The following is an 18,108-nucleotide window of genomic DNA, read 5'->3' as shown; positions in this document are numbered from 1 at the left end:
CCTCAGGGAAGTGACTCTGAGCCTGAACCTCCATTTGCCCATCTATAATTGGGGTCAACAGCAGAGCCTACAAATATCCAGACAGTCTTCCAGGCCCCAGAAGGCAGGCAAAGTCCTTGCACTCTCAGAGTTGGTAGCCTACTGGGGACACCAGTGAGGAACCTTGTGTGGGACAGGCCTTCAGGGGTCTTAACCTTTCCTGTACCTTGGGGTCCTTTGGCATCCGGTGACCCTCTCTCAGAAAAAAAAATTTTTTTTTGAAATGTAAAATTAAATGCATAGATTTATAAAGGAAACAAATTGCCTTGAGATGCAAATGTCAACATAACAGAAAACAGGTTTCTGATATAGTCCTATATTATTTCTGTATTAATGCACAAAATAACAAGACTGAGTGGTGGGTCAAGTACCTTCCATAATTTTGAGGCTGAGGTGAGTATACACAATGTGTCGTAGATATCCGCAATCACTGCAATGAGATATTAGAGTATCTGCGGTTTCTACTAGTGACAAAGCTGCAGGCCCTGCTATCACCACTGTAATAGCCTGTGGCATATACTCACTACCACAGGAAAAGTTAATATCAGTTAGAGACTAGTGGGAAAAGCATGTCCTTTTTTTTTTAATGCAAGTTTACAGGTTCCTTGAATTCTATTCACAGATCCCTGGGGGTCCAGGACATCAGTTAGGGACTCCTAGTGTTTATATACTAGTTGTTAAATATTCTATTAATTATACCTGTATACACTCTCATTCTACTTTTAAAATCCAAACAATTTCAATATAGGTAATGTAAAAAGAAAACGCCATCACCATCACCCTATTGAAACCCCCTCCCCTGAAGCAAATCGCTACTGTTAATAGTTTGATCTTCTCGGTTTTTGTATAAAAATACATCATTTGGATCATTCTTACACACAAATGGATCCACATTGTATATAGTGTTCTGCCTCTTGGTTTCTTTTTTTACTCATAAGCATGACAGGGACATCTTTTCAGATCAGCATCTGATGTAGCTCAACCTCATTCTTGCTTGTTTGTTTGTTTTGTTTTAAGATAGGGTTTTGCTCTGTCGCCCAGGCTGGAGAGCAGTGGCATGATCAGAGCTCACTGCAACCACCTCCTAGGCTAAAGCCATCCTCCTGCCTCAGCCCCGCAAGTAGCTGAGACTAGAGGCATGCACCACCACCTTCAGCTAATTTTGTTCTGATTTTAGTAGACACAAGGTTTCACCATGTTACCCAGGCTGGTCTCCAAATCCTGAGCTTAAGCGATCCACCCACCTTGGCCTCCCAAAGTCATGGGATTACAGGTGTGAGCCACCATGCCCAGCCATCAACCTCATTGTTTTTAACAGCTACATAGTGTCACGTGCGTCCGTGTGAAGAGACCACCAAACAGGCTTTGTGTGAGCAATAAAGCTTTTTAATCACCTGAGTGCAGGTGGACTGAGTCCGAAAAAGGAGTCAGCAAAGGGAGATGGGGTGGGGCAGTTTTATAGGATTTGGGTAGGTAATGGAAAATTACGTTAAAGGGGGTTGTTCTCTTGTGGGCAGGGGCAGGGGTCACAAGGTGCTCAGTGGGGGAGCTTCTGAGACTCATTGTCCAGGAGAAGGAATGTCACAAGGTAATGTCATCAGTTAAGGCAGGAACCAGCCATTTTCACTTCTTTTGTGGTTCTCCAGTTGCATCAGGCCATCTGGATGTACACGTGCAGGCTTGGGCTCAGAGGCCTGACATTCCTGTCTTCTTATATTAATAAGAAAAACAAAACAAAATAGTGGTGAAGTGTTGGGACAAAACAAAATAGAGGTGAAGTGTTGGGGTGGCGAAAATTTTTGGAGGTGGTATGGAGAGATAATGGGTGATGTTTCTCAGGGCTTCTTCGAGCAGGATTAGGAGCAATGTCGGAACCTAGAGTGGGAGAGAGTAAACTGAAGAAAGATTTTGGGGTAAAGGGTGACATTGTGGGGTTGTTAGAAGGAGCATTTGTCGTATAGAATGATTGGTGATGGCCTGGATGCAGTTTTGTGTGAATTGAGAAACTAAATGGAAGTCACAAGGTCCGAATAAGAGAAGGAGAAAAACAGGTATTAAAGGACCAAGAATTGAGAGGACCTAGGACATCCAATTAGAGAGTGTCCAAGGGGGTTCAGTGTAATTATTTGCTTGACTGGCAAGTTTTTGGGCTCTGTCCTTGAGTTTTTTTATGTTGTCATATACCAGGCCAGATTGATTTAGGTGAAAACAACCTTCTTCATTTGGAAATATTCAGAGTCCTCCTTTTTCAGCAGTGAGTAAGTCAAGGCCTATTCCTGTCTTTTTATATTAATAATAAGAAAAACAAAACAAAATAGTAGTGAACTGTTGGTGTCATGAGGGGAACAGGGAACTCTTCGGTCTCATTTGCAAATTGAATTTTGGGAGTAAGGAAAACTTGTGTGCATGTGCCTGTCCAATTAGCAGGTAGACACATGTAGGTAGAGGATCCACAGAGGAAGAAGAGACCTTGTGCGAGGCAAAACTGGAAATGCAAAGTAAAAAGATGAGAAGGAGTACTAAAGGTTTCTTGTACCCAGACTCCTAGGGATCCAGCTAGGGTGGCAGCCGTCAGAGGTTGTAATGGAGACTGATGGGGTAACTTCCTAGAGGAGGAGGTTCAATTTTCATGGTGCATGAAAAAACGTCGAGTATCTACAAGCAACCATTCACTGTTATTTACAGGGCTGGGTATAAGCAAACAAGAAGAGGGCCTGGGAGGAGAGTCTGAAGAGCAAGGGGAAGGTAGCCAAGGATGGAGTGAAATACAAGGTAAATGTCTTAAAGGAAATGAGAGGTTTTAAGAGGTGGGCTGGTGGCTTGTAACCCACATAGAAGAGGTTATGAAAGGACGATAGAATGGAATGGGCCTGTGAGGCTGGAAGGAGGAATTTTCCTTAGTCCAAGAACCATTTGCCTTGTGTGGGAAGAGATTGATAGGTGGAAGTTTCAGTGGGAGAGTAGGTGGGAGTGATGGAAAGAAAGTAAATCATGAGAAAGGGCTTGACTGAAGTAATAGGGGCTGTCCCTGAAGCCTTGTGGCAGTACAGCCCAGGTAAGTTGCTGAGGCTGATGGGTGTCAGGGTCAGTCCAAGTGAAACCGAAGAGAGGCTGGGATGAAGGATGCAAAGGAATAGTAAAGAAAGCATCTTTGAGATCCAGAACAGATTAATGGGTTGTGGAGGGGCGTATTGAGGATAGGAGAGTATATGGGTTTGGCACCACAGGGTGGATAGGCAAGACAATTTGGTTGATAAGGCGAAGATCTTGGACCAGCCTGTAAGACTTGTCCGGGTTAAAATGTCTTGGCCTAATAAGGGTACTGGGCAGGTGGGGATAATTAAAAAAGAGTGCATAAAAGAATGTTGTCCCAGGCCGGGGGCGGTGGTTCATGCCTGTAATCCCAGCACTTTGGGAGGCCGAGGCGGGCAAATCACGAGGTCAGGAAATCGAGAATATCCTGGCTAACACGGTGAAACCCCGTCTCTACTAAAAAAAAAATACAAAAAAATTAGCTAGGCGTGGTGGCAGGCACCTGTAGTCCCAGCTACTCGGGAGGCTGAGGCAGGAGAATGGCATGAACCTGGGAGATGGAGCTTGCAGTGAGCCGAGATCGCGCCACTGCACTCCAGCCTGGGCAATAGAGAGAGACTCCATCTCAAAAAAAAAAAAAATTTTGTCCCAGTTGGCACCAAAGCTGGGGAGTTTTAAGGAGTCTAGCAGCCTGGCCGTCAATACCCGCAACAGTTATGGAGGCAAGGGAAACAGGCCCTTGAAAAGTAGGTAATGTGGAGTGGGTAGCCTCTGTATTGATTAAAAAGGGGACAGACTTACCCTCCACTGTAAGAGTTACCTAAAGCATCTGTGATGGTCCAGGAGGCTTCTGAGGCAATCAGGCAGTGTCAGTCTTCAGCAGCTAAGAAGAGAAGATCTGGGAAGGAGTCAGTCAGACAGCCTTGGGCCAGATTTCCAGGGGCTCTGGGTGTGGTTGGTGGGCGAGTGGGACAGTTGGATTTCCAGTGGGGTCCCGCAAAGATGGGACACGGCTTAGGAGGAATCCCAGGCTGTGGACATTTCTTGGCCCAGTGGCCAGATTTCCAGCACTTGAAGCAAGATCCTGTGGGAGGAGGTCCTGGAGGAACAACTGTCTGCTGCGGCTTAGGCGTTTTGAAGTTCTTGTGTGCTGGATGTGGCTGGGGTTTCTCTTACAGCAGAGGCGAGTAATTGCAACTCAGAAATATGTTGCCACTTGGCTGCCTCTTCTCTATTATTGTACACCTTGAAGGCAAGGTTCATTAAGTCCTGTTGTGGGGTTTGAGGGCCGGAATCTCATTTTTGGAGCTTTTTCTAATGTTGGGAGCAGATTGGGTAATAAAATACATATTAAGGATAAGGTGGCCTTCTGGCCCCTCTGGGTCTAGGGCTGTGAAGCATCTAATGGTAGCTGCTAAGTGGGCCATGAACGGGGCTGGGTTTTTATATTTGATGAAAAAGAGCCTAAATGCTAACTGATCTGGGAGAGGTCAGATAAAGAAAAAGGAGCATTAACCTTGACTGTGCCTTCAGCTCAAGCCACCTTTTTAAGAGGAAATTTTTGGGCAGGTGAGGAGGGCTAGTTGCAGAACGAAACTGTAAGCCAGACTGGGTGTGAGCAGGGGAGGTGATAGAAGGATTATAGGGTAGGGGAGCAGATGCTGAGGAAGAATTGGGACCTGGCTCAGCCTGGCGAGGAGCAGCGTCAGGGAGGAGGGGAGAGGTCAGATGAGTCCGTAGAAAAGAAGGATTCAAAGGACTCAGAGCTTGGGGTGGAGATGGAAGGAAACAGACAGGAGAGAAAAAAAAAGATTTGGGATGAGTCGCTTTGGGAGCAGAGACTAGGGAGGGACCAATGTGTGAAAGAATGCCTGGACATCAGGCACCTCAGACCATTTGCCCATTTTTTGACAAAAAATCATCCAGGTCTTGTAAGATGGAGAAATCAAAAGTGCTGTTTTCTGGCCATTTAGAACAATTGTCGAGTTTGTACTGGGGCCTAGCAGTATTGCAGAAGAAAATAAGGCATTTAGGTTTTAGTTCAGGTGTGAGTTGAAGAGGTTTTAAGTTCTTGAGAACACAGGCTAAGGGAGAAGAAGGGGGAATGCAGGGTGGAAGGTTGACCACAGTGAAGAGGTAAGTTTAAAGAGAAAGCTAGAGACACGGAGAAGCGGGCGGTGAGCAGCCCTGGGCTGTAATATGGGTGAGCAGCCAAAGCAGGTGTCCCTGCAATTGACATGCCACCAAGGGAATGTGGGTGAATGACCAAGGCAGGTGTCCCCCCGGTGATCAGACACCAATGGAATGTGGGTGAATGATCAGGGCAGGCATCCCTGCAGTGATTAAACACCAAGGGAAGACTGTCTTCCTGAGTCCATGACCGGTGCTGCAGTTTTGGGTCCATGGATAAAATGTGTCTCCTTTGTCTCTACTAGAGAGAAAAAGGAACCCGAATTGGAAGGACAGGGAGATTGAAGGGTAGTGAGAGAGGCTGAAGAAGAGAGTGAAAAGACCGTTTACTCAATTTGAAATTGGTGAGATGTTCCTTGGGCTGTTTGATCTGAGGATCGGAGGTCATAGGTGGATCTCCTCATGGAATGAGGGCAAGGACAGGGGACCGGTCTCCTGAAGGAGTCCTCCTGTCCCGGGTCTTCAGCACCAAATATCATGCACGTCCATGTGAACCAAACAGGCTTTGTGTGAGCAATAAAGCTTTTTAATCACCTGGGTGCAGGTGGACTGAGTCTGAAAAAGGAGATGGGGTGGGCAGTTTTATAGGATTTGGGTAGGTAGTGGAAAATTACAGTTAAAGGGGGTTGTTCTCTGGCGGGCAGGGGCAGGGGTCACAAGGTGCTTGGTGGGGAGCTACGGAGACTTATTGTCCAGGAGAAGGAATGTCACAAGGTAATGTCATCCGTTAAGGCAGGAACCAGCCATTTTCACTTCTTTTGTGGTTCTCCAGTTGCATCAGGCCATCTGGATGTATACGCGCAGGCTTGGGCTCAGAGTCCTGACACATAGTAAGATATGGCCCAGACATACCAGAATTTATCATGCGTTCATTATGTAACTACAACCAGAGTTATCTCAGGAATGCTCCCTACAACCCAGGGGAAGGAGCTATGATTATCTTCATTTTAGAGAAAAGGCTCAGACACCAGTAGAGGCCCCAGCCTAAGGTCACACAGCCAGTAAGCTAAGAGCTGTGATTCACACACAGCTTCATCCATACAAAGCACTACTCTCTCTGCATTGATTTTTATCTGCAGTTGACAAGATGCATTTCCCAAACAGGAACCTCATGCACCATTTTCCATGGAAGAGAGATAGCTGCAGGGCATATCATTGTTACCATCTTCATTTTGATCCTCAAATACCAGACACGCTCCCACTTCAAGGCCTCTGCACTTGCCTTTTCCTCTGCCTGGAATTCCCTCCCTCCTGACTCTCCCAGACCTTGCTTCTTCTCAGCCTCTCAGCCCAGATGGCCCTCTCTGGTGGGGCTTTCTCCATCATACTGGCTAAACTTGCCTCCAACCCCACATATTACCCTGTCTTATTTTCTTCATAGCATTCATCAAGATTTCAATGCAACTGATATATTTAGTAGAAGTGCCCTGGAATCAGAAACTTTACGAATTTTGCTCATTTCTGATTATCTAATACCTAATACAGGATGAGCACATAGTAGGTGCTCAAGAAATAATTCCTGAATGAACACATGAATGAAACTCAGAGAGGGTGAGGGGGTTCACTGGAGGAGATCTATTTAATGTTACATATGTATATCTGCGGCATTTTATAGAACCTTGTGTTGGGGGCGTTGTTTTTTACTGAGGTATGACCCACGTACAGCAAAATCTACCCTTTTCACATATAGTTCCATGAGTTTTGACAGACATATACAGTTATGTAACCACCAGCAAAATCATGACATAGAACATTGCCAATATCCCAAAAAGCTCCCCTGTGTCCTTTAACAATCAATCCCCACCCCCTCCCCGGACCCAGGCCCTGGCAATCACAGATTCTGACATTTTTAGAGAGTCATACAAATAGACTCCTACAGTATGGAACCATTGGAGTTGCATATTTTTCACTCATGATCCATCTGAGGTTCATCTGTGTGTTTGCACACATCAATGGTTCTTTCCTTTTTATTGCTCAATGGAGTCCACTGCATGGATGGACTGCAGTTTCTCCATTCACCAATTGATGTCCATTTTATATAAATAATGCAGGAGAGAAGCAGGCTTGAGCAGATCTCCTCGGCCACGGAGGCTGCTCATCCACGGATCTGCACCTGTTATTTGTCTGAATCACCCCCTCTCCCCCAGCCCCTGCCTGTGAAAATTTCTTTCTTTTCCTTCAAGACCCTTTGCAAATGCCCTCTCCCCAGCAAGGAGCAGGGTGTGCTGACCCATGACCCAGATCTGTAAAGTGGGGCTCAGAGAAACACAGTAGTCTCCAAGGGCCCACAATGAAAGTGTGGCAGAGCCAGAACTCAAACCCAGGGCCAAGGGGATGGGGCAGTAGACCAGGGACCAAAACTCAGTCTCTTTGCCAGCTGGAAGGGTGACAAAAGGTCAGGCCTTTGTACCCCATCATAGGCCTGAGAATTCGGCAGCCTGAGAGTGATGGAGAAGGGGCAGGTCTAATCCTGGAGTCGGTGCACGGCATAGAGAGAAGTAGATCCAAAAAAACAAGAGAAGTAGATCCCACGCTGGGTGAGTTCCTCCACTGGGATCCATTCCCTGCCCTTCCAGCTGGTGCCTCAGCCATGGGCCAGACCTAGCTCCCACCACCCAGGCCAATATTAGTCTCCAGAGCCCAGCCCAGCCTAACTGAGCCCATCTGGCCCAGATTATCCATCCCAGGGCCTGTGCTGGTGGGCGGGTGTGGCAAACTGGGTGATGGGATCCAGCTGTGGGTAACCTTTGCCCTGCCCAGCCACTTGCAACCACAGGACAAGTGGGGGACCAGTGAGGTGCTTGGGGAGCTCCAGTCACTTGAGGGGACCCTGAGCTGCCCTGAATCACCAGCTCAGCTCTGCAGCCCTCAGGCAAGGAGTCTTAGAGCCTAGCCTGCCAGATGGTGACCTTGGGCAAGACTTCTGGGCCTCAGTTTGTCTATGTTCAGGCAAATGAGAAGCTTGGGGAAGATGCCTGGGAAAGTCTCACCTCAGGCATGAATATGCTGTTTGACTACTTGGAGCAGGTGCTCAGTACCTGGATGTCTGCTTTTTAATTTAGGTTCTAGGAGGTCAATGATGCATGAAAAAGTCTGAGACCAAACTCGATACAGCTATATTTGTCCTCATCCATGCTGGTGGGCCCAGCCAGCCACACATTAGAATCTCCTGGGAGCTCACATGCAGTCCATGACTAAGATTTACCACGGACCCCCGGACCAGCCTGCTAGCCCATGCTCTGATGTTAATGACATCGAAGGCACCCCTCCCGAGGAAATCTCAACTGCACCACCCCTACTACTCCCTAATTCAGCAGGAAGCAGTTAGTGCGGTCATCAGCTGACCTCCCCAACAGCACTTGGGTTTTCCTGTTGAGAGGGGGACTGAGAGACAGGGCTAGCTGGATTTCCTAGGCCAACTTAGAATCCCTAAGCCTAGCTGGGAAGGTGACCGCATCCACCTTTAAACACGGGGCTTGCAACTTAGCTCACACCCAACCAATCAGAGAGCTCACTAAAATGCTAATTAGGCAAAAATGGGAGGTAAAGAAATAGCCAATCATCTATTGCCTGAGAGCACAGTGGGAGAGACAAGGATTGGCATATAAACCCAGGCATTCGAGCCAGCAACAGCAACCCCCTTTGGGTCCCCTCCCTTTGTATGGGAGCTCTGTTTTCACTCTATTTCATGCTATTAAATCTTGCAACTGCAAAAAAAAAAAAGAATCTCCTGGGAGCTGACAGAGGGGTTAAAGACAGGAAGGCACAAAAGGCAGACCCATGGAGAGGAGGGCAGCCTGGCCCAGAATAAGGCGAGTAAACAGATTTGAAATCCAAATTGGGATCACAGTGGGCAGTACTTACTAGTGGGTTGAGTGTGGCCGCTAAGAAAAAGAGAAGTTAAGATTGAGGTCTGGGTTTGGGGCTTCAGAACTGGGTGGAGCCATTTCCTGAGATGGGAAAGATTTCGAAGCATGGGGTGGGAGTTACAGGGACAGGGGCGATGGGAGCTGAGGAATGAAGAGTTTCACACTGGGCTTGAGATGCTCATTGGAAACCATGCAGAGATGGCGAGTTGGGGACATGCAGGGGAGAAGTCTGGGTGGGAGATGGTGATGGCTCCATTAGCACAGAGGGATGTGGAAGTCCAAAGACCGATCTCAGCCCCTGGGGCAGGGCCCTGATGCATTTGGATCCTCAGACCTCTTGGCATCTGGTCCTGGTGAAGCTTAATAATCCTTTCTCAGAAATGCATAAAATCAAAGCATAAGAACACTCAGTAATATGGAAATCATAAGCAAAATATGAAAAATAAAATCTGTGATCAGGCATAGCATTATCCAGTGGTGGGTGTGATGTCTATAATTCCAAAGTCCCGGTGAGTAAAAACAATGTTTTAAGATACCGTAAGAGTGTGTTGTGATATGAAAATATTTGGGATTTCTATTGGTAATGACTCTCAGGACCTGCTAGTATGGCTGTGGTTTGTGACCTAGGCTCATAATTGAAGGAAATGCCAAATTTTAATTGCAGATTAGTGGACAAAAAATGTGATCTTTTTTTCTCACTCAAGTTCATGGAGCCTGTGGCTTCTTCATTAAGGACCCCTGACCTAGAGAGTGAATGTACATAGAGACAAGGACCCAGGACTGGGCCATGGGGGCCCTGCCGTGTAGGAGTCTGTAAAGGAGGAGTCAGAGAGTGGGTGGTTAGGGGCTAGGAGGAAACCAGGATTGGGGGGAAGTCGTCCAGCAACAGGGAGTGGCCATCCAGGTGATTGCTCCTGAGATGTCAAGCAAGATGGAGTGTCCCTTGAGGGCAGTGTCAAGGAGGGCTATCTATGACAAGGTGAATTAAAGAGCGAAGGGGGGAACTGCGCGTGGTGGTGCTCGCCTGTCGTCCCAGCTATTTGGGAGGTGGGAGGATTGTTTGAAGCCAGTAGTTTCAGGCTGCAGTGAGCCGTGATCACATCACTGCACTCCAGCCTGGGCAACAGTGAGACGCCAAAAGGCAAAGGGACCTCCCAGGATGGAGAGACATGACTGGAGGTATACAGGAGGATGAGCACTATGGGCTATATTTATTCTCTATACTTTTTTTTTTTTTTTGAGACACGGTCTCACTCTGTTACCCAGGCTGGAGTGCAGTGGTGCATCTCAGCTCACCGCAACCTCCACCTCCCAGGCTCCAGCGATCCTCCTGCCTCAGTCTCCTGGGTAGCTAAGACCACAGGCTTATGCCACCATGGCTGGCTAATTTTTGTATTTTTAGTAGAGATGGAGTTTCACCATGTTGCCCAGGCTGGTCTCAAACTCCTGGGCTCAAATGATCCACTCTCCTTAGCCTTCCAAAGTACTGGGATTATAGGTGTGAGCCACCGCACCTGGCCTCTATGCTTTTTTGTATGTGTGAAACGTAACATCATTTTATTATTAACGTTATGTTGTTGTTGTTGTTTTTTAAGTGAGGGTGGGTATGAAGGTGAGAAAATGGAGACAACTTGTAGAAGTTTTGTGTTGATGAGATCAGAGAAACTGGAGAAGCAGCCAGAGAGGCTGTGGAGTTAGTTTTTAGATGGAAGCTGTTAGCGCATGTTTGTGTGCTGCAGGGAGGGGGTGGGCTGATGATGCAGGGAAAGAAGGAGGGGGGTCTCTCTGGTCTTCAGTCCCTGCTGCTACTCTGCATCAAGGGCTCTCACACTTGAGCAGGCATCTGACTCAGCCAGGGGTGTTGTTAACCACAGTTGGCTGGGCACCATTAAGAGTTTCTGGTTCAGGAGGTCTGCGGTGGGACCTGGAAATTCACATTTTTAATGAGCTCAGCTGATGCTGACGGAAGAACCACACTTGGAGAAACACAGCTCTAACCAGTACTACTACCGCCCACAAGCACCCGCTCCAGGATGTGATAATGGAACTTGCTCCCTTTGAAACACTCCAGGGTGAGGAAGGGATGGGAGTGAACAGTCAAGATGGAAGAAGGGAGAAGAGATGAAGGAGGAAGTGGCTGGAGCCTGGCCCGAGCCAAGGTCACCACCTCTCCTGGGGAGCACCCATCTTCCCAAGGACCCTGAGAGCTGTCCAGCTGGCTTCTGAAAGACTGAGTGAGAGGGCAAGGGAAGGAGCCAGGGACAGGGGTGGGGGGCATGGTGAGAGGCCAGCATGTGTGCCGAATGGAGAGGCAATGGTGGAGGGGAGCTGGCTCTCTGCCTGCAGGCACCGAGCCCTGAGAACACACTGTTCACCTTTACAACAGCATACTGGTGTCATGCCAGACCAGCTCTCCTGCCCTTGGGAAAGAGAGCAGCCCTGTCAAAGAAATGAACATTTGCATGTGGGATCCCAGAACATCAGAGCTGGGAGAACCCTTGGAGACTGGCCAGTCCAGCCCCATTTGGCAGATAGAGGGGATCTGAAGATAGAAAACACAGCTTGGCCAATGGACCTGCAAACTCTTTGTACAAGGGAGAGATGCATTCCCACTCCCTGCTGGCTGACTCACCCTGAGGAAGCTGGTGAAGGGGCATGTGATTGGGCGCTGTGCTCTGACCCTTGCTGTTTCCCCTTTTTCATCAATTCATTGAACGCGCATTTATGAGCACTCACTGTGCACCATGCATTGTGCTAAACATAGAAACAAGGCAGTGAGCAAAACCAAGTCCCTGGCTTCATGGAATTGACATTCTAGAGAGAGAAACAGACAACAGACAGATAAAAAGAGAGATAGTGATTTTAAAAAGTCAGGTGGTGATAAGTGGTATGAAGAAAGCTGAAACAGCATGAGGAGGTGTGCCACGCAGATGCGGATCAGGGTTGGGGGAGGATTCCAGAGGGAACAGTGAGGGAACAGCTGTGGGCACATGCTTGCTTCGTTAGAGGGATGTCATGGAGCCATTGCATCGGGATTGAAGTGAGTGAGGGAGAGGGGAATAGGAGAGGAATGAGAGTGTGGTGGCAGGCCCAGTCACGGAGGAACCTGCAGTCATGGCTTTTCCTCTGCGTGAGATAGGAACCCTGGAAAGATTTTGAGCAAAGGAGGAGTGTGACTTGACTTAGGTTTAGCAGGATCCCTCTGGCTGCCTAGTGGGGGATGGACTGTGCAGGGGACAAAGATGGAAGCAGAGAGGCAGACAAAACAGGCATATAAATCCCTCCCAGGGAAAAATCTACTGGGATAGTCCAGGCAAGACGTAATGGTGGCCTGACCTGGCCCGGCATGTTCTGAGCCAGGGAGGCCTCAAGTGGCTGCTCAGTGCCCTCCCATGGTGACACGTGGGAGGGACAGGGGGCTTCCCCCGCCCCTCCCCCGTGACCCCAGCCCATGGTCTCCCACAGCTAGAGAGGGCCATCAAGACGATCTTGAGGTCGAAGCTGGAGCAGGTCCAGCAGCAAATGGCCCAGAATCAGACGGCCCCCATGCTAGAGCTGGGCACCAGCCTCCTGAACCAGACCACTGCCCAGATCCGCAAGCTGACCGACATGGAGGCTCAGGTAACAGAGGGTGACTGAGTGGGCACTGAGGGCCTGTGGCTGGCCAGGCTGGTTCGTAGCCCCAGTCATCTTACCTTGATCTCTGACCCTGAGTAGGGTCAAGGCCTCCTCTGGGCCTGTAGCCCCCCGGGTCCCTCCTCCCTGATGAACTTGTCATAAAACTATCTCTCTCCAAGCTATGAGCCCTGGGGGGTGGATGCTGGGCTTGGCTTTTCTGCCTCTGTAACTTCAGTGCCTGGGTCTGTGCTGGGCACTGGAATGAGGGGTATAGTAGCACAGCTCCCTTGCCCTCAGAGGACTTACAATGTGCCAGGGGAAGATGGATAAGAAACAATTCACTGGGCCTCTGGGGCCAAGGACTTGGAGAGAAGAGGTATCTGAGCAGCAAAGAGCAGGGAAGGAACTAGTGAATAAATGAAGGGTAGGGAAGTCAGTGGATGAAAAAGTGAATAACAAATAGACACAAGTTTGTGCCCATTTGTTTGTTTGATCCCCCGTGTGCCAGGCACTGCTTGAGAAGACTGGTGTCTAGTATACAGCAGGAAACAAAGCAGGCATACATTCCTACTCCTGTGAAGCTTCCCCTGAAAATGAAAAGATAAGTGACATATATGGTTATGCACTGCTTAATGTTCCAGTCAACAACTTGCCACATAGACAACAGCAGTCCCATAAGAGTATCGTATGCTGTTTTTATTGTACCTTTTCTGTGTTTAGATATGCATACACAAATACTTCCCACTGTGTTATAACTGCCTACAGTATTGGGTGCAGTCACATGCTGTATGGATTTGTAGCTTAGGAGCAATAGGCTGTCTCATATAGCCTAGGTATGCAGGCGGCTATACCATCTAGATTTGTGTAAGTACACACTATGATGTTTGCACAATGACGAAATTGCATGATGACGACTTTCTTACAACATCTTTCCGTCATTAAGCAACACATGTCTGCATATGTTAGCCAGTGACAGCGCTAAGGAGAAAATAGCATGGAAGAGAGAGCAAGAGAGGGGGTGCATTGGGAGTGGTGGGGGGGGATGAGAGCTGCAAGCTCATACAGCAAGGCCAGGAAGGGCCATGGAGAAGGTAGGGCTGCAGCCAGGCTTACTGCAGAGAGTGCTCCAGACAAGGGATGCAGCATGTGCAAAGGCCCGGAGGGAGGATGGACGTGCTGGCAGGTTCAAGAACATCAGGAGACCACTATGCTGGAGTGACCAGGAGGAGAGTGGCAGGCAAGGAGCTGGAGAAGTGATAGGGACAGATCACACCATAGGGCCTTGCAGGCCATGGTGAGAACTGGGGCATTTCCGCTACATGAGATGGGAGCCACAGGAAGCTTTTGAACAGAGCAAACATGTTTTAAGAGGCAGCCCCAGGCTACTGAGTAGAGAATAGATTGCAAGCAATGAGGGAGCAGTCCAGGGCCAGAGTGAGGGCCACAGAGCAGGAGAGAGGTGGTCAGGGGCCACCTGGAAGGCAAGGCTGACAGGACCTGCAGATGAGTTGGATGTGGGGGACAGGGTTGACAGCTCCTGGGGCCTAAGCATCAGGGAGAATGGAGCTGCCATTGCAGTGATGGAGAAAGGCAAATTTAGGAAGCAGGTAATAAGCTTAAGTCAGGGCCTGTGAGTGAGTAACCACAGGAACTACGACTGGGAGAGTGGAAATGGGTAAGTTTCTGGAGTGGCAGGGCCTGTGGGCAGGTGGGTGGTTGGGCAGGGCTCCTGTAGCGCTTACGCAGCCCCCTACCTGCTTCTGCTTGCTGGGGCAGCTCCTGAACCAGACATCAAGAATGGATGCCCAGATGCCAGAGACCTTTCTGTCCACCAACAAGCTGGAGAACCAGCTGCTGCTACAGAGGCAGAAGCTCCAGCAGCTTCAGGGCCAAAACAGGTGGGTGTGGCACCTGGCACCAGACTAGGACAGGGGCTGGGGCTGGAGTCAAGTTTAGGACCTAGGGCAGGCACCAGAGCCAGGGCTAGGACTGGGGCTGGAGCCAGGACCGGAAGCTGGACGTGGGCTGGTGTCTGGGATAGGGCCTGCAGCCAGACCTAGGAGCTTGGATTAGGATTGGGGCAAGGAGGTATCCTGGGAGTTAGGGCTGAAACTAGAGCTGGGAATAGCCCCTGCTGGGGAAGGACTGAAACCAGGGTTGGAGTCTAGACTGAGGCTGGAAATGAGAGTGGATACGGGGCTGGGCTAGGAGCCAGGCAAACACATTGCCTGGCCCCTGCACTGGGTGGGACAGGGGATAGGCATCTTCCTGGGGCCCAGGACACCCTGATTCTTTCTTTCCCTTTCCTTCCTTCCTTCCTTCCTTCCTCCTTCTTTTATTTATCTCGTAAATTTTAACAGCTTTATTGAGATCTAATTCACCCACCATACTATTCATCCGGTAAACTTTATTGGCTTTACTTCTTTGCAAATAAATAAATCTGGTGCTATCTACGATTCCTTTCCCAGAAACAACCACAGTTACCAGGTTCTTGTCCACACTATCAGAGAGTCTTTGCATTTATAAGCAAATGGGCATCAGGGGAACACCCTTTAAATTACAAAAAAAAAAAAAAAAAAGCGGTCATGAGGTTTAGATAAAGCAGAAAAATCTGGCAGCTAAGGCTGATTTCACCTCAGTTTCAAGCTGAGTGAAGAAAAAAAGCTGCCAAAGTCAGGGTTCTGGAGAAGGCAAAATCTACCCACTGAACAAGCCACAGGCCTGTGAATCAGGCAAGATGTTGTTGTTCACATGCCGGTTCAGGATAAGGCCATAAGATCCCCCAGCTCTCTCTAATCTGGGTGCAATTAATGACAATCTGCCCATCTTCTTATTCTCCCAACCCAAGGTCTCAGTGGCAAGGACTGGGACACTTTCAATGACTCTAAATTAACACTAGGTGTCTAGAAATCAGTGAGGATGGAGGATGTCATCGGTAAACTCTTGGCCCATGAAGACAGGGCAGGAATTCTAGAATTTCAGTGTGCCCCAATTCTCTCTTTTCCTGCAGCATAATTGGGAGTCCAGAGGAAATTTCTTCTGCCCTAGCTGGACTCAATTTCTTAGTCTGCAGAATGAGTTGGCACAAGTGGATATACAGTAAAATGTCTCCCTCCCAGCCCTGTCTCTCAGCCACCCACCCAAGCCAGAGGTAGCCACTGTTCCTAGTTTCTTGTGTATCCTTCCATTCATTCAACCAACAATTATTTTTCAAACTCTTTTCATGTGTCAGGCACTATTGTAGACACTGTGGATACAGAAGTGAACAAAGAGACAAAAGCCCCTGTCCTCGTGAAGCTGACATCCTATAAGCTGACATTCCAGGGTTTCTTATGAATATGCAAACACATACATACAGAAGATTGCTAACTTACAATGGTTGGGCTTACAATTTTGTGACTTAACAGTGGTATGAAAGTGATACACATGCAGTAGAAACCGTACTTTGAGTACCCATACAACCATTCGGTTTTTCTCTTTCAGTACAATATCAATACCTTACATAAGCTACTCAACATTTTGTTATAAAATAGGTTTTGTGCTAGATGATCGTGCCCAATCACAGGCTAATGTAAGTGTTCTAAGCATGTTTAAGATGGTCTAGGCTAAGCTAGGATGTTCAGCAGGTTAGGTGTATTAAATGAGTTTTTGACTTAGGACATTTTCAACTTACGATGGCTTTATTAGGACATAGCCCCATCATACATTTTGGAGCATCTGTACATTCCCATTTTTATCCTTTTTAAGCCCAAATGTAGCCTACTACTTGTTTATACCTTGTTTCTACAAATTATTATTCAGTTACCTTGGAAAGATTCTATAACTGCATGACATGCTTGCTCATTTTTTTCTCCACCTTTATAATGCTCCACCATATGTGGTCCCTGCTTTTATTCCTCCAGTCCCCAGTTAATGGATATTGAGGTTGCTTCCAGCCTTTTACTAATCCAACCAGTGATACGATGAGTAACATTTCCATATCTCATTTCACACACATGTGAGTAAATCTGGAGGATAAAATGTCCAAAAAGAAAGAGCTGAGTCTAAGGCTTTCTTTTGAAAAACTCCTCTTTGCTTCTAAATCCATTACAAAAAATGTCTCTTGATTATTATAATATCATCGGACAACAGGAACCTGTACAAAATAAAAGTGAAAGTTGGGCCCTCCATCCTGCCCCCATCTTCCTCCTCTCCATCTTCATCCACTCAAACCTGCTCTGCAGAAGTCACAGCACTTGAGGGAATTTCTTTCATATTCTTCCCAAACACAGGCACCACTGCGGTCTTTCCAGCCTTCTCCTATATGTTCACCCCATTTCTCTTTATTTACATTAATACTTTCTTTCTTCTCTTGCCACACATGGGGTTAGGCTTGATGTGCCCCAAGTCCTGGGCATCTTTCCAATTCTGTGCAAATGCCTCCTCCTTCATGACTGCGGAACATTTCCAGGGACGCCAAAACGCAACGGATTCAGCCAGTCCTGGCTTTTGGGCATCTAGGCTATATCTTTTTTGGTTGGTTGGTTAGTTTGTTTTTCTATTACAAGCAAGTCCCCAGGGCCATTCTTGACCATGCTCCCTAGAGGATAACTCCTGAGAGTAGACTGCTGGGTCAAAAAGCAAGCACAGTTGGGATTTGATAATAGCTACCCAGTTGCTGGTGTCCCTCCCACACCACCTCTTTCTTCCACTAAACCTCAATCTATATTACTCCAGGGCCGGGTATCTCTTTTCTCCCCTCCTCAATCTGTGCCTACAGTGGGCACAGGACGTTCCACCACACTTGAGTCTCATCGTCGGGCTGCAGGGACTCCAGGGCCGGGGAGGCGCGCGGGGGTGCGTGCTTCGCGAGGATGCCAGGCTCACCTCTGTGCGCCCCCTACCCCGCAGCGCGCTCGAGAAGCGGTTGCAGGCCCTGGAGACCAAGCAGCAGGAGGAGCTGGCCAGCATCCTCAGCAAGAAGGCGAAGCTGCTGAACACGCTGAGCCGCCAGAGCGCCGCCCTCACCAACATCGAGCGCGGCCTGCGCGGTGTCAGGCACAACTCCAGCCTCCTGCAGGACCAGCAGCACAGCCTGCGCCAGCTGCTGGTGTTGTTGCGGCACCTGGTGCAAGAAAGGGCTAACGCCTCGGCCCCGGGTGAGTGAGCGGTGTGCGCCCCAGTGTGGCTAAAGACGGGCAGGAGAGGGGAGGGGAGACCCTGCTCACCCTCCAGGGTCTCTGGGCGCCTGGGAGCCATTGCGGGCCCCACCCTCCCCGACCATCTGTGAAATAGAAACAACAATAAACAGTAATAATGGCGTCAACAACAATCCCAATCCAGGCCCTGTCCCCTGATTCCATGGGTGACCTTGGGCATG

At 48.5% G+C, this 18,108-nt stretch overlaps 1 protein-coding gene across 3 annotated transcripts in view, besides 1 other annotated feature; it reads left to right on the top strand.

Moving 5' to 3' along the window:
• The window catches only part of ANGPT4 (angiopoietin 4), a 46,435-nt gene that overhangs the window by 13,370 nt on the left and 14,957 nt on the right, over positions 1-18,108 (top strand). For 2 of the 3 annotated variants that reach the window (NM_001322809.2, NM_015985.4), the window contains exons 2-4: positions 12,597-12,752; positions 14,526-14,647; positions 17,640-17,887. In NM_001322809.2, coding sequence (NP_001309738.1) covers positions 12,597-12,752; positions 14,526-14,647; positions 17,640-17,887 — 526 coding nt within the window. The remainder of the gene's footprint in view (positions 1-12,596; positions 12,753-14,525; positions 14,648-17,639; positions 17,888-18,108) is intronic. The other variant, XM_011529239.4, reaches the window with a different exon arrangement.
• Positions 17,178-17,677: an enhancer, noted in NCBI's record as "H3K4me1 hESC enhancer chr20:865931-866430 (GRCh37/hg19 assembly coordinates)". NCBI's record gives its function as "activates a minimal SCP1, AML or CMV promoter by ChIP-STARR-seq in primed H9 embryonic stem cells {active_cell/tissue: H9 hESC(primed)}" and the evidence as "EXISTENCE:reporter gene assay evidence [ECO:0000049][PMID:30033119]".

Source organism: Homo sapiens, chromosome 20 (assembly GCF_000001405.40).
Source record: "Homo sapiens chromosome 20, GRCh38.p14 Primary Assembly".
Classification (NCBI taxonomy): domain Eukaryota; kingdom Metazoa; phylum Chordata; class Mammalia; order Primates; family Hominidae; genus Homo; species Homo sapiens.
This window is presented reverse-complemented; position numbering and strand designations above follow the sequence as displayed.